This window comes from Homo sapiens, chromosome 13 (assembly GCF_000001405.40).
Source record: "Homo sapiens chromosome 13, GRCh38.p14 Primary Assembly".
Taxonomy (NCBI): Eukaryota; Metazoa; Chordata; class Mammalia; order Primates; family Hominidae; genus Homo; species Homo sapiens.
In genome coordinates, this window is record NC_000013.11 from 49626943 (window position 1) to 49642410 (window position 15468).

The following is a 15468-nucleotide window of genomic DNA, read 5'->3' on the forward strand; positions in this document are numbered from 1 at the left end:
TTATCCAGGCATGGTAGCACGTGCCTGTAATCCCAGGTACTCGGGAGGCTGAGGTGGGAGAATTGCTTGAACCTAGGAGGCGGAGGTTGCAGTGAGCCGAGATTGTGCCATTGCACTCCAGCCTGGGCGCCAGAGCGAGACTCCATCTCAATTAAAAAAAAAAAATAGGAGAGAGACAGAGTCTCACTCTGTCTTCTAGGCTGGAGTGCAGTGCTGTGATCTCAGCTCACTGCAGCCTCCACCTCCTGGGCTCATGCAGTTCTTGGGCCTCAATCTCCCAAGTACCTGGAACTACAGGCACACATCACCATGCCTGGTTAATTTATTATTTTTTGTAGAGACGTGGTTTCACCATATTGGCCAGGCTGGTCTTGAACTCCTGAGCTTGAGCGATCCTCCTGCCTTGGCCTCCCAAAGTGCTGGGATTACAGGCATGAGCCCCCATGCCCGGCGACTAGCCAATTTTTTAAAAATTACATTTTCTAGAGGTGTCATTTTTACTGGGAAAAACACAGTGACACCATTCAAGAAAAAATTGAACGGTAACTTTAATCACTACATTAACACAATTTTAAAGGTTGATCTGCATCATACATACCTTTTAAAGAATGTTTTCATCATATGTAGACAGCTTTTTTTGTTTTTTGTTTTTGTTTTTGTTTTGAGGCAGAGTCTCGCTCTGTCACCAAGGCTGGAGTGCAGTGGTGTGATCTGGGCTCACTGCAACCTCCGCCTCCCGGGTTCATGCCATTCTCCTGCCTCAGCCTCCCAAATAGCTGGGCCTACAGGTAGGTGCCACCACGCCCAGCTAATTTTTGTATTTTTAGTAGAGACGGGGTTTCACCATGTTAGCCAGGCTGGTCTCGAACTCCTGACCTCGTGATCCACCCACCTCAGCCCCCCAAAATGTTGGGATTACAGGCCTGAGCCACCACGCCTGGCCATAGGCAGCTTTTAAAAGAACACATGTGCAGCCTGGCCATCATGGTGAAACCTGTCTTTATGAAAAATACAAAAATCAGCTGGGCATGGTGGCACCTGCCTATAATCCCACTTGCTTAGGAGGTTGAGGAGGGAGGATCGCTTGAGCCCTGGAGGCGGAGGCTGCTGTCCAGCCTGGGCGACAGAGCAAGACTCGGTCTCAAATAGAAAACAAAACAAAACAACAACAACAACAACAACAAACCATGTGTGATTCCAAGCAAATCAGAGAATCTCTAGCCACCAGAAAAACCTTGAGGCATGTACTGAAAGGAAGAGGTCAGAATTCTCTGCGAGGAGCTCAGAGGATCCTGAGGGAAGAGAGAAGGCGGCTGCGCTTGGACACAGCTCCGAGCTCGTGCTCCCTCCTTCAGGCACCCAAGTCTGAGTTGCTAAAAAATGGAGCTGTCACTGGGCCTTGCTCTGCCAGGACCTGCAGAGCCGGGGACCTCTCTGTGGCAAGCCCAGCAAGATGACTGCTCTGAGGCGCCCTAGGGCTGAGGGAGGGGCCGTGACACCAGCCCCGCCCCCCAGCCACCTGGGAAAAGGAAGCACAAAAAGGAGAAGCAGCAACGGCTGCTCTGCTTCCTTCCCATCTCGCTCTTGGGTCATGCCTGGCCAGCAGAAAGCAGCTCCATAGGGGAGGAGAGCCACGCAGGATCTCACAGCTGCAGTCTAATAGTAACACAGAGGTAATTTTAACTTTTTACTTTTCTACCCTTGGGAGTAGGGATGAGTAGAGGCTTACCTCCTTCCAGAGGCAGCTCATATCCCCCCACCCCCATTCCCGGAAGTTGAGATGTCTCTTCTCTGTTCCACGCAGGCATCGTCTAAGTTGGGAACAGGTCTTATGTCTTAAAATTTGGGATTCTTTAAAAACATATGTGGCTGGGCACAGTGGCTCACGCCTGTAATCCCAGCACTTTGGGAGGCCGGGCAGGTGGATAATTTGAGGTCAGGAGTTCAATACCAGCCAGGCCAACATGGTGAAACCTCGTCTCTAATATAAATACAAAAAGTAGCTGGGTGGTAGTAGTAGCTGTAATCCCAGGTACTCGGGAGGCTGAGGCAGGAGAATCCCTTGAACCTAGGAGGCGGAGGTTGCAGGGAGGCAGAGGTTGTGATGAGCCAAGATTGCACCACTGCACTCCAGTCTGGGTGACACAGTGAGACCCTGTCTCAAAACAACAACAAAAATGTGTGATGGCACATGCCCATAGTCCCAGCTACTGGGGAGGCTGAGGTGGGAGGATGGCTTGAGCCTGGGAAGTCGAGGCTGCAGTGAGCTGTGATCATGCCACTGCAGTCCAGCCTGGGCGACAGAGTGAGACCCTGTCTCAAAACAAAACAAAACAAAACAAAACAAAAAAACCCAAAAACAAACAAAAAAGCACATGTGGAGTGTTGTAGAAGTCATTGACCTTGGTAAGACAGTGGAGGAAACTGCTTTGCTCTGACTCATAAATTTGCCCCCAGTAAACAGTATTTATAAATAGCCCCAGTCAGGCACTGCATGAAGACATTTCAGTCAACGACAGACCACATATACAACGGTGGTCCCATAAGATTATAACAGAGCTGAAAAATTCCTATTTTTCAGCTTAGTGTTGTGGTGCAACCACTACCTTTTCTATGTTTAGATACACGAATACTTAGCACTGTGTTACAATAGCCTACAGTACCCATTACAGGAATGCTGTACCGGTGTGTAGCCCAGGAGCAATGGGCCATACCATATAGCCTAGGTGTGGAGTAGACTAGACCATCCACGTTTGTGTAATTACAATCTATGATTTTGTAAAATGATGAAATTGCCTAATGAAGCATTTCTCAGAATGTGTCCCCGTCATTAAGTGACACCTCACTGTGTTTCCAAGACATAGTACTGGTCCTTGGGAAGCTCTAAAGAGAGGTCACCGTGAGCTGAACCATCCTTCTCACTCTGTGCATGGAACCCAGCTTAGCTTCCATTTCAGCATTTAGGCTTATAGGAGGAGAAGAGGTTAGAAGCCACAGACCAGCAAGAATTGAAGACATCGTTCTGTAATTTCTACTGAACCAGCTCTGTCTGACTGGAACTTCATTTTGCCTCTTTGCTTTAACTCCTCAGGAATGTCTTCCAGGAGGCCCCTGATCTTCTCTGCTCAGGGACCACTCTTATCTGACCCAGAGACAGGTTAGCTGATGGTGACTCACACATCCTCACTTCCTTCAAAGCCCAGGCATCTGTTTAAAATCTGACCCTGTGAAGACTTTTCCTGTTTTGGAAAAACTCTTCCGTTGTTTGCCTGCACAGATTTGTGCTCCATTTTTAATTTCAATTTTTGTAGAGAAGGCGGGTCCTTGCTTTGTTGCCTCGGCTTGTTTGAAACTCCTGGGCTCAAGTGATCCTCCTGCCTTGGCCTCCCACAGTGCTGGGATTACAGGTGTGAGCCACTGCACCAGGATGGATTTGTCTTCCTTCAGAAGACAGTAGCTGATGTGTGCCCTGGCCTTTCTCCCCTAGGATTCAGCAGTGGCCACCATGGGTTCTGTGAATTCCAGAGGTCACAAGGCGGAAGCCCAGGTGGTGATGATGGGCCTGGACTCGGCGGGCAAGACCACGCTCCTTTACAAGCTGAAGGGCCACCAGCTGGTGGAGACCCTGCCCACTGTTGGTTTCAACGTGGAGCCTCTGAAAGCTCCTGGGCACGTGTCACTGACTCTCTGGGACGTTGGGGGGCAGGCCCCGCTCAGAGCCAGCTGGAAGGACTATCTGGAAGGCACAGATATCCTCGTGTACGTGCTGGACAGCACAGATGAAGCCCGCTTACCCGAGTCGGCGGCTGAGCTCACAGAAGTCCTGAACGACCCCAACATGGCTGGCGTCCCCTTCTTGGTGCTGGCCAACAAGCAGGAGGCACCTGATGCACTTCCGCTGCTTAAGATCAGAAACAGGCTGAGTCTAGAGAGATTCCAGGACCACTGCTGGGAGCTCCGGGGCTGCAGTGCCCTCACTGGGGAGGGGCTGCCCGAGGCCCTGCAGAGCCTGTGGAGCCTCCTGAAATCTCGCAGCTGCATGTGTCTGCAGGCGAGAGCCCATGGGGCTGAGCGCGGAGACAGCAAGAGATCTTGATCCAGACAGAGCAGCATATCTTTGCTCATACAAACTAGAAGAACCAGCTGATCCTTGAGAAATTTACGCTTAGTCTATCAAACAAGAAATGCTGGCTTGGCCCGGTGGCTCATGCCTGTAATCCCAGCACTGTGGGAGACCACGGTGGGGGAATCCCTTGAGCCCAGGAGTTGGAGAGCAACATCACAACACCCCATTTCTACTAATAATCAAAAAATTGGCCGGGCATGGTGGCATGTGCCTGTAGTCCCAGCTACTTGGGAGGCTGAGGCAGGAGAATCGCTTGAGCCCAAGAGGTAGAGGTTGCAGTGAGCCAAGATCGCGCCACTGCACTCCAGTCTGGGCAACAGAGTGAGACCCTGTCTCAATAATAATAATAATAATAATGATGATACTCTAAGAAAAAAATCTCAACATACTTCATTTAATAGCTCGTTACCAAGTGTGAATGAAGCAATATGTCATAATAGAGTAGCCACTGGTTGCATAATAATAGAGACCTAAATTCTCAAATAGGGAAAGAGGTTTTAAAATCAAATTTGAGGCCAGGTGCAGTGGCTCATGGGCGGAGGAGGGCAGATTACTTGAGGCTAGGAGTTCAAGACCAGCCTGGCCAACATGGTGAAACCCCATCTCTACTGAAAATACAAAAATTAGGCATAGTGGTGCACGCCTGCAGTCCCAGCTACTCAGGAGGTTGAGGCAGAAGAATCGCTTGAACCCAGGAAGTGGAGGTTGCAGTGAGCCGAGATTGTGCTGCTGCACTCCAGCCTGGGTGAAAAAGACAGGCTGTGTCTCCAAAAAGAAAAAAAAAAGTCAAATTCAAATATCATCTGGACATGTCACAATGGATCGCGGATCCTTATGAGTGATTTTCCCCAGTGGCCCCTGGGGATGTGCCACTGTCACTCAGAAGGGCAAGCTAGGCAGGGCCCATACAACAGCAGGGGTCTGCAGGTTAGACGTTCCCTGCCCTGGGACGCTCACCCCTGGGCAAGAGGCTGGAAGTTCACACCATCCAAAATTTATCCTTGTTTTTTTTCTGATGCTAATTAGCCTCTCCCGATTTTATGACATCTTGTGTTGATCTTTTTCAAAAACTCATTTTCTTTTTTTTCCTTCTCTTTTCTCCTTCTTGTAGCACATATCTTTCGTTAAAGATCAGATCAATAAAATATTTTATTTATTCATTAATTTAACAAAAAAAACAGAGCATTTAGTTTGTGGCAAAAACACTGAGCTTTCGAATATGAATCATGTGCTTTAGGTGGGAATTGTGAATTCTGAAGATACAGATGACAGTGACGAATGCCTTCTGTCTCATGATTGACAGGGAAAAGGAAGGTTGACCATAGCATCCTAGAAGGCTCATCAGGTGATCATTACCTAGCATCCATGAAGCACCTGAAATTATTTGCAAAATGTTACGCTTTGGACCATTTTTCCGGGGAAGGAGATCCAGAACTTTTTACCAGATTTTCAAAGACATCTGTGACTCCCAAAAGTTAACAATCACTGATGTGGTTGTTGTATCCCTCATCCAACCCCAGAACACTTTCTGTAATCTGAGTTTTTTAATGGCAAGTGGCCTATATTTAGCACCTGTTCTCATGTTAAACAGCTCTGAATGTTAGATATTCTTTCTTATCCTGGACTGGTTCTCTCTATCTCTGGAGTAATGCAGTATAAATTGGCCATCAGTACCCTCCTAAAATCTGAGATCTGCCAGGCCCCTCTTCTAACACCAGGTTAGGCATGCTTGGTTATTTCCAGTACTTGTCAGTCAACATGTTTCAAGACGCTGTGTTAGACACTAGGGATGCAAAGATGAATGAGATAAGGCCTCAGGCCTCATGGAAGGTGAGACAGTAAAGACATTACTCCCATAAAAATGTGAGGAGAGAGACTCAGTTCAGCAACTGTTTATTCTGTTTATTGAGCACTTACTTGGACCAAGCACTGTGGTCTTGGTGTTTTACATAGACTGTCTCTAATTCTCACAACTCTGCAAAATATATATATTCCCATTTTATAAAACTACAAACTGAGGCTCAGAGAAGGTGTGACCTCTTGTTGCTTGAGGCACAGAGTTATAAAGTAACATATCTGGAATTTGAAATCAGATCTGTTTAGGGCTAATGCTGCATTTTTCTACAACATCATGCCTCTAGAAGGTTTAAGCTAGGTAGGCTTTCAGCCAGCAGACATGATGGGGAGAGCCTTCTAATAAGAGGGAAGAGACTGCTTGGAAGCATGAAGGGAGGTGTAAGAAAGATAAGTAAGTCAGTGTACTTGCAACAGAGGCTTGGGATGAAGGGTGGGTGAAGTTGACATCACGATAGAAAACAAAACTGGAATGGGAGTTTAGGTCCAATTTGGGCAAGGTTGTTTGAATTTCAATAATCAGGGGTTTGGGTCAAGGAAGAAAAATCATGGGACTTGCCATTTAGGAGGATAATTTTGTGGTAGTGTGGAGGTGAAATAAAGAGAAAAGGGAACCTTGGAGCTGGGAAGGCAGGAAACCGGCTAGATGACCATCACACAGCAAAGGAGGGAGTGGAAGAGAGATGAGAAAATTGAGAGCTATTATTAAGAAAAACAGTTGAGAGAGGAAGAATTTGAAGAGGGCTCAAGATTTTGAGTCCACATGACAGAAGGACTGGAATGCCATGAACTGGAGAAGGTGAGCGCTGAAGAACCAGGATGGGACGGGGCTGGAACAGCTGGGTTCAGCTTTTGCAGGGTGGGTACGTGTTTGGTTATAGCTGCTTTCAGATTGTTCCATTATCTGTACTCCCAACAACCCTGCCGGATATATTTGTTGGCTTTCACTCATGGAGGCTCATTTCCTTGCATGATTTGTCACTTTTGATTGTGAGCTCATCTGCAGTAGGAGTTGTTTATCCTGTGTGACTCCCATGTGCCCTGGTCTGTAACAACATTTCTACAGAGTGGTATCTACTAGGATCCTGGGGATTTCAATTATTTTAGACCAAATATTATGTCAGTTTCTCTGCCTGGGGCTACTGGACCTCAGAGGTAGTATACATCTGAACTGTGTACCCATTCAATGCACAGGCCTTAGGGATTCCATATGTGACAGGTGACTTTTTTTCCTTGCCTTTATGTTGTAAGACAGACAGCCTGCCTCCTCAGACTTCCCTGAGCTGGTGGGCAGCATTTTTTGAACCCTCTTTTAAGGAGGGGTCATCTCTCTGATGCTCTTCTTTTTTGCTGAGCTCAGATTAACATTTTCTACCTGGGTGCAGTGGCTCATGCCTGTAATCCCAGCACTTTGGGAGGCCGAGGCAGGCGGATCATGAGGTCAGGAGATCGAGACCAGCCTGACCAGCATAGTGAAACCCTGTCTCTACTGAAAATACAAAAAAATTAGCCGGGACTGGTGGCGGGCGCCTGTAATCTCAGCTACTTGGGAGGCTGAAGCAGGAGAATTGCTTGAACTTGGGAGGCGGAGGTTGCAGTGAGCCAAGATTGCACCACTGCACTCCAGCCTGGGCAACAGTGCGAGACTCCGTCTTAAAACAAACAAATGAAAAAACCATTTTCTCTCCTCCAAGCAAGCCTAAGGCCACATGTCCTATTCTCACACAGGTGCTTTAATTTCAGCCCAGTCTCTAGAGCCTAAATTTGGCTCCTCTGCAATTTCCATGGGCTCTAGGTTTCCAGCTTATACTTACTGCTTTGGCTGTGGTTTCTCTCTTCCATTTCTACCACGTGAGGATTTCCTTTTATTTTGTTTAAAGACAGCACACATTAAAAAAAACTTTTGTTGTTATCGTTTACCCAACATTTCTATGTTTTTTTTTCATGGGAAGGCCATCTGCCATAATGCTAGAAGTCCTGAACTTGTTTTGATATGTGACCCTGAGCCTTCCCGGGGTGCTGGCAGAATGGTGACATGATTAGATCTGTTCTTAGGAAGATATCAGGGGCAGCAGCATTTGGGTAGAGGTAGCATCCTGAAGGCAAGGAGACAGGTTAAAGAAAGACCAGAGGTGTCTTTTGACCCAGGTAGACACTACTGACACATTGGTCTGCGCAAACAGTTCACCACAGCTGCCCTTTCATGCCATAGGCTCGATTTTTCCTGTTCTCTTGGCAATCCCTCTGGTTCAGCCAGGACAGTAGCCTCCTCTCTGACACCAAGATGGACCATGCTCTTCCCCAGCTCCAAATGTGTGCTCCTTGATGGAATAGACACAGTGGACAAGAGGACCCTCAGGTGGCTTTGAGTATTTGCCTCAAGCCCATCATCCCTGAAGGCAGATGTGCTTGATCTTAACAGAGCCCAGGAAGTCTCCCCTCAGATACAATTTTGGAAAAAGGACAATGAAAACAAAAAGTCATAACTGTCTAGGTTCTTTGCATTTTGAACAAAGAATTGGACAAAAAGCACAAACAAAGCAACAAAAGAAAAGCACAGATTTATTGAAACAAAAGTACGCGACACAGAGTGGGAGGGGGCTCGAGCAAGCAGCTCAAGAGCTTTGGTTACAGAATTTTCTGGGGTTTAAATACCCTCTAGAGGTTTTCCATTGGTTACTTGGTTTACACCCTATGTAAATGAAATAGTGGCCCACGATCAGTCTGATTGATTGCAGAAAGCAACTAATCAGAGGCTGAAGTGAAGATACAAAGTTACACCCTATGCAAATGTCTGATTGATTGCAGAAAGTGACCAATCAGAGGCTGAAGTGAACTTACAAAGTTATACTCCTCTGCAAATGAAGACTTGGCCTGTGACCAGCCTGACTGGTTGCAGGAGGGGACCAATCAGAGGTACTTTCAGTTTTCATCTGCAATGCAGGGGAAGTTGGGGGGTTGCAAAGGGAGTAGCCTCTGATCCTTTTGTTATTTGGGTGTGGAGAGGTGGGCTTTTCTTTTTGATTCAGTTCTAGGAATTCGGCGCGAATCAGCCTTAGGTTCCCTGCCTCCAGACCCTACTCTCCTGCCTCAATAGCCATGCCCAGTTAGTGTTAACTGTAACTCCCTGCTGGTCTGCCTCCTGCTAGGAGGGACTGAACATCAAATCACTCGCATCGAATTACTCAGCAGGTGAGTTCTGGGGATGATAACCACACAATTCTCTCTGCACGAAAGATGGGTTTGAGAGCCTCAGAGTCTGGGGGAAGCTCTGCCAGCCATCCACTTACTGGCTTACTGTTTGCCTGAAGTAAGCATGGGAATCCCACAGGGTACAAGGTCCCGCATACCCTTCTGGGATTTCCGATGCCCTCTTTGCATGTGCTCTGGTCCATCAAGCTCCCATGCCAGATGCAGTGCTTGTAGTTGCAGCAGTGACCATAGCAGTGGCAACAGTTCTACAGGGTCACAGAACTTTAGGGAAGCCTCCTAACACCCCTGCTCTTCGTTAGGCTGCAGCTGCTTTCCTGTCCATGATTTAAGCATCCTTAGATCCCAGCTGTCCAGGAAGCTCTCCCCACGCACCTCAGCCTAAGTCCAGCCTCCCACTGAGCTCCCATGGCATGACTGTCCAGGCCCCAGCGCCCTTGTGCCCTAACCGGGGCTGTTCCATGTTGATATGTGGTCTCCTCAGGCATGGTGTACACTACTAGAGAGGAGGGGCCAAGTCTTCCATCCTTCTGACCCTCTTCAAAGCCTGGAACAAAATTAGATATTGAGAGTTGTTCATTAAGTACCTGAGTGAATAATGAATAATTGATTAAAGCCAGAGAATCGGGTATCACAGTAAGGAGTCCCTGGGTCCTCCGAACTTTCCAGAATAAAATTCCAAAATGAGAACACCAAGAGGTTCCCTGGCTTGAGAGCCAAAATGGCGGCACAGACCTATATCTCAGGCACACTTTGTGGTAAAAACAAGAAGCCAGACACACTCTTTCTAGACACACGTCACACCCAGAATGACTTAGCTTTTAGTCTGTGGAGGAAAAGGGGTGGAAAGTGGAGACCTGGAACCAGATGAGAAGTCAACGGGAGCAGTAAGTTCAGTGTGTGCCTCCTGTCCCAGCACCTGGGTCAACATGGGCAAGACCTGATGGGGTGGTGGAGATGCTGACCTTTGCTGCTGCCTCTTGGGCCTGTAAGAGCAAATACAATTTAAAAAAAAATTTTTTTTTAATTTTTTTTTGAGACAGGGTCTCTCTCTGTCACTCAGGCTGGAGTGCAGTGGTGCGATCTTGGCTCACTGCAGCATTCACCTCCTGGGCTCAAATGATCCTCCCACCTCAGCCTCCTGAGTAACTGAGACTACGTGGAGTAGCCACCCCACTCGGCTCATTTTTAATTTTTTGTAGAGACATGGTTTTGCCATGTTGCCCAGGCTGGTCTCAGACTCTTGGCCTCAATGAATCCTCCTGCCCTGGCCTCCCAAAGTGTGGGGATAACAGGCATGAGCCACTGCGCCTAGTCTGCAAATTCACATTGAAAGAAGAGGCCTGTTTGATAGATCAGTAGGGTGACTATAATTAACATTAATCTAATATGCATTTCAAAAAAGCTACAAGAGAATAATTTGAATGTTCCGCTGCATAAAGAAAGGATAAGTGTTTAAGGTGATGGATATTCCAGTTGCCGTGATTTGATTATATTAATGTTACCAAATTATTACATATACTTCAAAAGTATATACATCTATTATGTATCAACTAAAAAAATAAGAGTTTTAATTCTCCTTGTGGAAAATAAGGGAAGAGACTTCACCTCCCTCCCTTTTCTTAGAGATTTTACTTTAGGAAACTTCAACTTTTAAGTTCTTTCCTCTGTCTCTTTGAGATGTATGTAAATCTTTTAAAAAGCTAAATAAGGGCCAGGTGAGGGGGCTCACGCTTGTTATCCCCAGCGCTTTTGGAGGCTGAGGTAGGAGGACTGTTTGAGGCCAGGAGTTCAAAGTTACAGTGAGCCATGATTGCATCACTGCACTCCAGCTGGGCAGCAACAGGGGCCCTGTGCTTTAAAATAATAATAAATAATAAATTTAAGAAGCTAAATAAGCCTCTTGGCAGCTTTAGGACTTAGAAATATCTTTTTCAAGGACCAAGGAGCCAACCTTTTGAAACGTAGTCATCAAGAGTTTCAATGGGAGGGTAGGAGCCTGACCTGGCAGGTGCCTCGCTCTAAGTTGCAAAACTACCTCCTGTCCTAAAGCTATGAGAGGTTTGTTTTTCCTTTGAATAAAGCCAATTAGCTAACATAGATGGTGACATCAGTTACCAGGTGAATCTGTGGTAAACTCTGTGCAACAAATGGGGCTGTCAAGTCCTCTTACTTGAGGACTGACTAGCTATTGTCTATGTGGAGAACCTGTCTGGAATAGGTCACCTCTGCATGACTCTATAAAAGGGTGAGGTCTCTTTCTGTCTTTGTAGTCTCTTAGGGGATTGTGTGGGATGTGCATTACATTTTAGTTGAGTGCTTATTCACTAATGAAACAGTTTTCTTTCTCCACTCCCTTTGTGGAGAGATTTCCTGGGTTGGCAGAGGTTGACTTTTAATAATATTTTCTCCACAGGCCCATCGTCCCCTGACTCTGTGAGCTTTCAGCCACACCCAGGATCAGTCAGATCAACTGCTCAACTCAAAGGCATCCTAGTGAGCAAGGGAAAACTCAAGGTGGTTTTTGGAGGGTGCTTAGTTAGGAAATGATGAACACAGTTCAACATGACTTGCGGCCCTCCCCATGGGCAAGAGTATGAACACCTGTGACTGTTCCTGAACTCACTAAGGAAAGTCTTTTACAGTGTGTGAAGGGTGACCTGGAGTTTCCTTCCCACATGGCTCATAAGAGCAGCAGCTCAGGAAAAACAAAACAAGTATTTATTTATTTATTTATTTATTTATTTATTTATTTATTTATTTTTAGAGACGGGTTCTCACTCTGTCACCCAGGCTGGAGTGCAGTGGCACAATCATGGCTCACTGCAGCCTCAACTTCGTGGGCACCAGTGATCTTCCCATGTCAGCCTTCTGACTGGCTGGGACTACAGGCATGCCCCCCATGTCTGGTTATTTTTTAAAAATTTTTATTAGAAGGCCAGGCGTGGTGGCTCCCGCATGTAATCCCAGCACTTTGGGAGGCCAAGGTGGGAGGATCACCTGAGGTTGGGAGTTTGAGACCAGCCTGACCAACATGGAGACACCTCGTCTCTACTAAAGAAAAAAAAAATATTAGCTGGGCATGGTGGCGCATGCCTGTAATCCTAGCTACTCGGGAGGCTGAGGTAGGAGAATTGTTTGAACCTGGGAGGTGGAGGTTGTGGTGAGCCGAGATAGTGCCATTGCACTCTAGCCTGGGCAACAAGAACAGAACTCCATCTTAGAAAAAAAATGTTTTTATTAGAGACAAGTTCTTGCTTTTTGCCCAGGCTGCTTTTGAACTCCTGGGCTCAAGTGATCCTCCTGCCTTGGCCTCCCAAAGTGCTGGGATTACAGGGGTGAGCCACCATGCCTGGCCACAAAACAATTTTAGAAAAGAAAAAAGCCTTTTATTTTCACTTAATTGTCTTGATTTCCACTCCTCTGAGACATTCACCCCCAGGAAACTTGGCTGTGTAGCTATAGATGATAAGTATTTTTAAATTCTCCTTGAGAAATGGCATTATTCTGCCTTAGATCTCGAACTAGAACCTGACAATGAGTCCTCCTGCTTGCCCCTGATCTGGGGCACACTGATATTTTTGCAGGTTCCTTCAAGCATGAAATTGCAAACCTAAACAAACTGGTTCTCATAAAAGCACTTCCAATCCTTCAAATAAAAGGAGGCAGCCTAATTATAAATAATCTCTGGATTAGAAACATCACACACCACATCTCTTGCAATTTTTATTTTACCTCGTCTTTGAATTCCATGAACTTCAATTTCATGTGGTGTTAAGTGCTGGCTTAACCTGGAGAGAAAATATAAAGGATATAAAGAAATGTATATAAAGATTTCTCAGAGTTATAAAAATACTTCTGTGAGAGAATTGCTACAAAAAGGGAGATGCAAGACCACCCTTTGTCCAAACTGGCATTGTCTAAATGCAGTTGAGTGTCTTGCCTTAGAGTCTGGGCTTGAAGTCAGTCAGAACTGACTAGAACACCAGCCCTACCCCTCACCAATAGGGTACCCTTGGGCCAATTATTTAACCCTTCTAAGCCGTAACTACCTCATCCGCAGAATGGAAATGATGCTAGGAAGTACCTGACAAGGTTCTTGTGAGAATTAAGTGAGATCCTGTGTTCATCTAGTCAACTTGTATTTCTTTATTTTTAATTGTATTATACATTTTTAGAGATGGGGGTCTTGCTCTGTTGTCCTGGTTGGAGTGCAGTGGTGTGATCACAGTTCACTGTATTCTCAAACTCTTGGGCCCAAGGGATCCTCTGGCCTCAGCCTCCTGAGTAGCTGGGACAACAGGTATGGGCCACCATGCCTGGCTAATTAAGATTTTTAAAAAATAGAAATGGGGGTCTCACCATCTTGCCCAGGTTGGTCTCCACCTCCTGGGCTCAAGTGATCCTCCTGCATCGGCCTCCCAAAGTGCTAGGATTACAGGCATGAGCCACTGTGCCAGGCCTTGACTCGTGTTTCTTGAGCAAATCACTGAGCTATGTTTAAAAGATACACAGATGAAGGACATATAAACCCAGTCCCTGCCCTTAACTTACAGCCGAGCTTTCAATAAGGGAGAGCTATTAATATTAAGTCCCACTGATGGATGTTAAAATGTAAATGAAGCATAGAGTTCTTAGGGCCTAGGCTCTTCTTGATGTTCCCTTCCACCATCCTTGGAACTCTCCAGAACGAGACTTGTTTTGGGGGAAGGAGGGTGCCTTGGCTGATGGAAAGTGCGGGGGTGGGGGCCGAAGGAAGTGCAGGGCCTAAGACTGTTGTTCTTAAGCATTCTGGAGGCTGCTGGACATTTAGCTCCCAGCCTCCTCTCTACCACAATGAACACTTCTATCCCAGGACTTCTCCTCTCCCCCTCCTTAGACCAAAGCTCTTGCAGTCTGAGTACTGGAAAGCCCAGCATGAGCCTCTCCACGCACTTCGAATGCACCCTCCTCCAGCAAAGGCTGGTAAGTTGAAAAGACAGGAAGGATTTCAGAAGACTGGAAATTGAATCCCACACTCAGCTCCTCTTTGAAACTCTACAATGAGTGCTTCATTCCTTGGACTTCAGCTTTTCAAAGAAAACATCCCTAGAAGAAGGACAGCAGGGATAGTCATTTACCTTTTAATGAGAATGAATTATCCAGCCCTTTTCAGGACAGCGTTTGTGAGGCAGCAAAGCTAAATGTTGAGAAGGGCCTGAAAGAATGATGGACTGACGCTGCCAAAAAGAGAAAGGGCGGGACCTTCACAGCTTTGCCTAAGGCCATTATGAATTTGGACCAAATAGGTATTATCATCCACACAGGCAGGACCTCCTGGGTAGGGGGCTGCCACCTTTTCCAGGCACTTGGAAGGGTGGCCTCCAGCTGTGGAGCCACAGAACTAAATATTATAGCTGGCCCAGGAGCACCCGTTTAGGCTAGGGAAGGAATAATAATCCGGCTTCTCCTTCCTCTGACCCTGAGATTTCGGCCAAGTCTCCATTAGAGATTGGCCTCCTAGAGTGTAAAACAGGGTGGACAAGTTTGGAGAATGGATCTGGGATGGGGTGGGGAATGGCAAATGGAAAAAAGGCAGCACAAACTCTTTATTGTCATTCAGAGAATGCTGAGGTCCAAGGCACAACCAGCCAGAGGGTTGCTTCAGCCTTTCACTGGAAAAGCCACATTTTCCTCAGTTGTATCCTCACTTCGAGTGAGGCTTCTCCAAATGCAGAAGGACAGCATCATGACCCAGGCCGAGAAAGTATGATTGCAAAATTCCATGGGCCTAACCCTAGTGGGGGAGGGAATCCATTCTTTTAAGCCAGGGTTTAAAACTCTTCAAGCAAGTCATCTGCAAAGGTACCGCTTCTACCATTTTAAAGATAGGATTATGTTCCCTAGGACAACTGGATGAGCCCTAGGAACCAAGAACCCTGTGCAGCTGGGGCAGAAGCCTGAGGGTTCCTTTGTTCCCCCACAGCTGTAGGTCACAAGGTTCTTACACAAGCTTTGGGGTGGCCCCACCCCACACCCTTCCTTCCCCTCAGTCAGTGATGACTCAAGAGGTTTTGGGAAGGAGCTCAGGGAACACTCAAGCAGCAGGCTCAGCTTACGGCACTTCTGATGCATTTTCTAGATAACATTAGTTGCTGGTTCCAGACAGGACTCAGAAGTATGGACATTCACTCCCCAGGCTTGGTCATCAGTGCCCTGTGAGTTCAGGAATACACTACCTAAAGGAGATCTTTAGGAAGGAGAAGGAGAAAAGAGGAGAAGAGGGAAGGAAGGAAGGC

General features: G+C 46.7%; 1 protein-coding gene and 1 long non-coding RNA gene across 2 annotated transcripts, besides 3 other annotated features; one reads left to right on the forward strand and one right to left on the reverse strand.

The window, feature by feature from the left end:
- Nucleotides 1565-6930, forward strand: ARL11 (ARF like GTPase 11). The gene is made up of 2 exons (NM_138450.6): nucleotides 1565-1673; nucleotides 3488-6930. Exon 2 carries the CDS (start codon nucleotides 3506-3508, stop codon nucleotides 4094-4096), a length of 591 nt encoding a protein of 196 aa, NP_612459.1. The 5' UTR covers nucleotides 1565-1673; nucleotides 3488-3505; the 3' UTR covers nucleotides 4097-6930.
- Nucleotides 1817-1866: an enhancer, noted in NCBI's record as "active region_7752". NCBI's record gives its function as "activates an Ori minimal core promoter by ATAC-STARR-seq in GM12878 lymphoblastoid cells {active_cell/tissue: GM12878}" and the evidence as "EXISTENCE:reporter gene assay evidence [ECO:0000049][PMID:35858748]".
- Nucleotides 6791-7085: a silencer, noted in NCBI's record as "tiled region #6161; HepG2 Repressive non-DNase unmatched - State 22:ReprW". NCBI's record gives its function as "represses a minimal TATA promoter and a strong SV40 promoter by Sharpr-MPRA in HepG2 cells {active_cell/tissue: HepG2}" and the evidence as "EXISTENCE:reporter gene assay evidence [ECO:0000049][PMID:27701403]".
- LOC105370205 (uncharacterized) lies at nucleotides 8526-15468 on the reverse strand. The gene is made up of 2 exons (XR_941964.3): nucleotides 12926-15468; nucleotides 8526-10176 (listed from the first exon to the last, which is right to left on the reverse strand). It is a non-coding gene; the product is annotated as an uncharacterized LOC105370205 (long non-coding RNA).
- Nucleotides 8864-8913: an enhancer, noted in NCBI's record as "active region_7753". NCBI's record gives its function as "activates an Ori minimal core promoter by ATAC-STARR-seq in GM12878 lymphoblastoid cells {active_cell/tissue: GM12878}" and the evidence as "EXISTENCE:reporter gene assay evidence [ECO:0000049][PMID:35858748]".